Genomic DNA, 6,245 nt, shown 5'->3' with positions numbered 1-6,245 from the left:
CTCTCATGGTTCAATTCCCACCTATGAGTGAGAGCATGTGGTGTTTGGTTTTTTGTCCTTGCAATAGTTTGCTGAGAATGATGGTTTCCAGCTTCATCCATGTCCCTACAAAGGACATGAACTCATCATTTTTTATGGCTGCATAGTATTCCATGGTGTATATGTGCCACATTTTCTTAATCCAGTCTATCATTGTTGGACATTTGAGTTGGTTCCAAGTCTTTGCTATTGTGAATAGTGCCGCAATAAACATACGTGTGCATGTGTCTTTATAGCAACATGATTTATAATCCTTTGGGTATATACCCAGTAATGGGATGGCTGGGTCAAATGGTATTTCTAGTTCTAGATCCCTGAGGAGTTGCCACACTGACTTCCACAGTGGTTGAACTAGTTTACAGTCCCACCAACAGTGTAAAAGTGTTCCTATTTCTCCACATCCTCTCCAGCACCTGTTGTTTCCTGACTTTTTAATGATCGCCATTCTAACTGGTGTGAGATGGTATCTCATTGTGGTTTTGATTTGCATTTCTTTGATGGCCAGTGATGATGAGCATTTTTTCATGTGTCTTTTGGCTGCATAAATGTCTTCTTTTGAGAAGTGTCTGTTCATATCCTTCGCCGACTTTTTGATGGGGTTGTTTGTTTTTTTCTTGTAAATTTGTTTGAGTTCATTGTAGATTCTGGATATTAGCCTTTTGTCAGATGTGTAGGTTGCAAAATTTTTCTCCCATTCTGTAGGTTGCCTGTTCATTCTGATGGTGGTTTCTTTTGCTGTGCAGAAGCTCATTAGTTTAATTAGATCCCATTTGTCAATTTCGGCTTTTGTTGCCATTGCTTTTGGTGTTTTAGACATGAAGTCCTTGCCCATGCCTATGTACTGAATGGTATTGCCTAGGTTTTCTTCTAGGGTTTTTATGGTTTTAGGTCTAACATGTAAGTCTTTAATCCATCTTGAATTAATTTTTGTATAGGGTGTAAGGAATGGATCCAGTTTCAGCTTTCTACATATGGCTAGCCAGTTTTCCTAGCACCATTTATTAAATGGGGAATCCTTTCCCCATTGCTTGTTTTTGTCAGGTTTGTCAAAGATCAGATAGTTGTAGATATGCGGCATTATTTCTGAGGGCTCTGTTCTGTTCCATTGGTGTATATCTCTGTTTTGGTACCAGTACCATGCTGTTTTGGTTACTGTAGCCTTGTAGTATAGTTTGAAGTCAGGTAGCGTGATGCCTGCAGCTTTGTTCTTTTGGCTTAGGATTGACTTGGCAATGAGGGCTCTTTTTTGGTTCCATATGAACTTTAAAGTAGTTTTTCCCAATTCTGTGAAGAAAGGCATTGGTAGCTTGATGGGGATGGCATTGAATCTATAAATTATCTTGGGCAGTATGGCCATTTTCACGATATTGATTCTTCCTACCCATGAGCATGGAATGTTCTTCCATTTGTTTGTATCCTCTTTTATTTCGTTGAGCAGTGGTTTGTAGTTCTCCTTGAAGAGGTCCTTCACAACCCTTGTCAGTTGGATTCCTAAGTATTTTATTCTCTTTGAAGCAATTGTGAATGGGAGTTCACTCATGATTTGGCTCTCTGTTTGTCTGTTATTTGTGTATAAGAATGCTTGTGATTTTTGCACATTGATTTTGTATCTTGAGACTTTGCTGAAGCTGCTTATCAGCTTAAGGAGATTTTGGGCTGAGACAATGGGGTTTTCTAGATATACAATCATGTCATCTGCAATCAGGGACAATTTGACTTCCTCTTTTCCTAATTGAATACCCTTTATTTCCTTCTCCTGCCTGATTGCTCTGGCCAGTACTTCCAACACTATGTTGAATAGGAGTGGTGTGAGAGGGCATCCCTGTCTTTTGCCAGTTTTCAAAGGGAATGCTTCCAGTTTTTGCCCATTCAGTATGATATTGGCTATGGGTTTGTCATAGATAGCTCTTATTATTTTGAGATACGTCCCATCAATATCTAATTTATTGAGAGTTTTTAGCATGAAGTGTTGTTGAATTTTGTCAAGGCCTTTTCTGCATCTATTGAAATAATCATGTGGTTTTTGTCTTTGGTTCTGTTTATATGCTGGATTGCGTTTATTGATTTTCGCATGTTGAACCAGTCTTGCATCCCAGGGATGAAGCCCACTTGATCATGGTGGTTAAGTTTTTGATGTGTTGCTGGATTTGGTTTGCCAGTATTTTATTGACGATTTTTGCATCAATGTTCATCAAGGATATTGGTCTAAAATTCTCTTTTTTTGTTGTGTCTCTGCCAGGCTTTGGTATCAGGATGATGCTGGCCTCATAAAATGAGTTAGGGAGGATTCCCTCTTTTTCTATTGATTGGAATAGTTTCAGAAGGAATGGTACCAGCTCCTCCTTGTACCTCTGGTAGAATTTGACTGTGAATCCATCTGGTCCTGGACTTTTTTTGGTTGATAAGCTATTAATTATTGCCTCAATTTCAGAGCCTGTTATTGGTCTGTTCAGAGATTCAACTTCTTCCTGGTTTAGTCTTGGGAGAGTGTATGTATCGAGGAATTTATCCATTTCTTCTAGATTTTCTAGTTTATTTGCGTAAAGGTGTTTGTAGTATTCTCTGATGGTAGTTTGTATTTCTGTTGGATCGATGGTGATATCCCCTTTATCATTTTTTATTGCATCTATTTGATTCTTCTCTCTTTTCTTCTTTATTAGTCTTGCTAGTGGTCTATCAATTTTGTTGATCTTTTCAAAAAACCAGCTCCTGGATTCATTGATTTTTTGAAGGGTTTTTTGTGTCTCTATTTCCTTCAGTTCTGCTCTGATTTTAGTTATTTCTTGTCTTCTGCTAGCTTTTGAATGTGTTTGCTCTTGCTTCTCTAGCTCTTTTAATTGTGATGTTAGGGTGTCAATTTTAGATCTTTCCTGCTTTCTCTTGTGGGCATTTAGTGCCATAAATTTCCCTCTACACACTGCTTTGAATGTGTCCCAGAGATTCTGGTATGTTGTGTCTTTGTTCTCATTCGTTTCAAAGAACATCTTTATTTCTGCCTTCATTTTATTATGTACCCAGTAGTCATTCAGGAGCCGGTTGTTCAGTTTCCATGTAGTTGAGTGGTTTTGAGTGAGTTTCTTAATCCTGAGTTCTAGTTTGATTGCACTGTGGTCTGAGAGACAGTTTGTTATAATTTCTGTTCTTTTACATTTGCTGAGGAGTGCTTTACTTCCAACTATGTGGTCAATTTTGGAGTAGGTGTGGTGTGGTGCTGAAAAGAATGTATATTCTCTTGATTTGGGGTGGAGAGTTCTGTAGATGTCTATTAGGTCCATTTGGTGCAGAGCTGAGTCCAATTCCTGGATATCCTTGTTAACTTTCTGTCTCGCTGATCTGTCTAATGTTGACAGTGGCGTGTTAAAGTCTCCCATTATTATTGTGTGGGAGTCTAAATCTCTTTGTAGGTCACTAAGGACTTGCTTTATGAATCTGGGTGCTCCTGTATTGGGTGCATAAATATTTAGGATAGTTAGCTCTTCTTGTTGAATTGATCCCTTTACCATTATGTAATGGCCTTCTTTGTCTCTTTTGATCTTTATTGGTTTAAGGTCTGATTGCAACCCCTGCCTTTTTTTTGGTTTTCCATTTGCTTGGTAGATCTTCCTCCATCCCTTTATTTTGAGCCTATGTGTGTCTCTGCACGTGAGATGGGTTTCCTGAATACAGCACACTGATGGGACTTGACTCTTTATCCAATTTGCCAGTCTGTGCCTCTTAATTGGAGCATTTAGCCCATTTACATTTAAGGTTAATATTGTTATGTGTGAATTTGATCCTGTCATTATGATGGTAGCTGGTTATTTTGCTCAGTAGTTGATGCAGTTTCTTCCTAGCCTTGATGGTCTTTACAATTTGGCATGTTTTTGCAGTGGCTGGTACCAGTCGTTCCTTTCCATTTTTAGTGCTTCCTTCAGGAGCTCTTTTAGGGCAGGCCTGGTGGTGACAAAATCTCTCAGCATTTGCTTGTCTATAAAGTATTTTATTTCTCCTTCACTTACGAAGCTTAGTTTGGCTGGATATGAAATTCTGGGTTGAAAATTCTTTTCTTTAAGAATGTTGAATATTGGCCCCCACTCTCTTCTGGCTTGTAGAGTTTCTGCCGAGAAATCAGCTGTTAGTCTGATGGGCTTCTCTTTGTGGGTAACCCGACCTTTCTCTCTGGCTGCCCTTAACACATTTTCCTTCATTTCAACTTTGGTGAATCTGACAATTGTGTGTCTTGGAGTTGCTCTTCTCGAGGAGTATCTTTGTGGCATTCTCTGTATTTCCTGAATTTGACTGTTGGCCTGCCTTGCTAGATTGGGGAAGCTCTCCTGGATAATATCCTGCAGAGTGTTTTCCAACTTGGTTCCATTCTCCCCGTCACTTTCAGGTACAGCAATTAGATGTAGAGTTGGTCTTTTCACATAGTCCCATATTTCTTAGAGGCTTTGTTCGTTTCTTTTTATTCTTTTTTCTCTAAACTTCTCTTCATGCTTCATTTCATTCATTTCATCTTCCATTGCTTATACCCTTTCTTCCAGTTGATCACATTGGTTACTGAGGCTTGTGCATTCATCACGTAGTTCTCGTGCCTTGGTTTTCAGCTCCATCAGTTCCTTTAAGGACTTCTCTGCATTGATTATTCTAGTTATCCATTCGTCTAACTTTTTTTCAAAGTTTCTAACTTCTTTGCCATTGGTTAGAACTTCCTCCTTTAGCCTGGAGTAGTTTGATCTTCTGAAGCCTTCCTCTCTCAACTCGTCAAAGTCATTCTCCATCCAGCTTTGTTCCATTGCTGGTGAGGAGCTGCGTTCCTTTGGAGGAGGAGAGGTGCTCTGATTTTTAGAGTTTCCAGTTTTTCTGCTCTGTTTTTTCCCCATCTTTGTGGTTTTATCTACCTGTGGTCTTTGATGATGGCGACGTACAGATGGGTTTTTGGTGTGGATGTCCTTTCTGTTTTTTACTTTTCCTTCTAAAAGTCGGGACCCTCAGCTGCAGGTCTGTTGGAGTTTACTGGAGGTCCACTCCAGACCCTGTTTGCCTGGGTATCAGCAGCAGTGGCTGCAGAACAGCGGATATTGGTGAACTGCAAATGCTGCTGCCTGATCGTTCCTCTGGAAGTTTTGTCTCAGAGGAGTACCCAGCCCTGTGAGGTGTCAGTCCGCCCCTACTGGGGGATGCCTCCCAGTTAGGCTATTCGGGGGTCAGGGACCCACTTGAGGAGGCAGTCTGTCCGTTCTCAGATCTCAAGCTGTGTGCTGGGAGAACCACTACTTTCTCCAAAGCTGTCAGACAGGGACATTTAAGACTGCAGAGGTTATTGCTGTCTTTTGTTTGTCTGTGCCCTGCTCCCAGAGGTGGAGCCTACAGAGGCAGGCAGGCCTCCTTGAGCTGTGGTGGGCTCCACCCAGTTTGAGCTTCGGGGCCACTTTGTTTACCTACTCAAGCCTGAGCAATGGTGGGCGCCCCTCCCCTAGCCTCGCTGCTGCCTTGCAGTTTGAACTCAGACTGCTGTGCTAGCAATGAGCGAGGCTCCATGGCCTAGGACCCTCTGAGCCAGGTGCAGGATGTAATCTCCTGGTGTGCCGTTTGTTAAGCCCGTTGGAAGAGCGCAGTATTAGGGTGGGAGTGACCCGATTTTCCAGGTGCCGTCTGTCACCCCTTTCTTTGACTAGGAAAGGGAATTCCCTGACCCCTTGCACTTCCTGGGTGAGGCGATGCCTCGCCCTGCTTCGGCTCACGCATGGTTCACTGCATCCACTGTACTGCACCCACTGTCCTGCACTCCCCCTTGAGATGTACCCAGTACCTCAGTTGGAAATGCAGAAATCACCTGTCTTCTGCATTGCTTATGCTGGGAGCTGTCAGGAAACTATTTTTAAAGAAGTAAAGGAAGGTATGGTAATGTTTATAAAATAAATAATGTCAATAAACAGGTAGAATTTTTTTAAAGAATTAACTTGAAATTCTAGAGTTGAAAAGTAAAATAATTGAAATGAAAAATTCAACAATATATTGAACTGTCAGAAGAGAGAATCAGCAAATTAGATCAATAGCAATTAAGCAATTTAAATAACACTGAGAAAAAAGTAATGAAGAAAAGTAGGCAGAACCTCAGAAAATTTTGGGATATATGCACACCAACATATGTGTAATAGGAGTACAAGAAGGAGTGGATAGAGAAAAGGAACAGAAAACAGAAAAAAATTCAAAAATAATGATGT

Source organism: Homo sapiens, chromosome 1 (genome assembly GCF_000001405.40).
Source record: "Homo sapiens chromosome 1, GRCh38.p14 Primary Assembly".
Lineage (NCBI taxonomy): Eukaryota > Metazoa > Chordata > Mammalia > Primates > Hominidae > Homo > Homo sapiens.
This window is presented reverse-complemented; position numbering follows the sequence as displayed.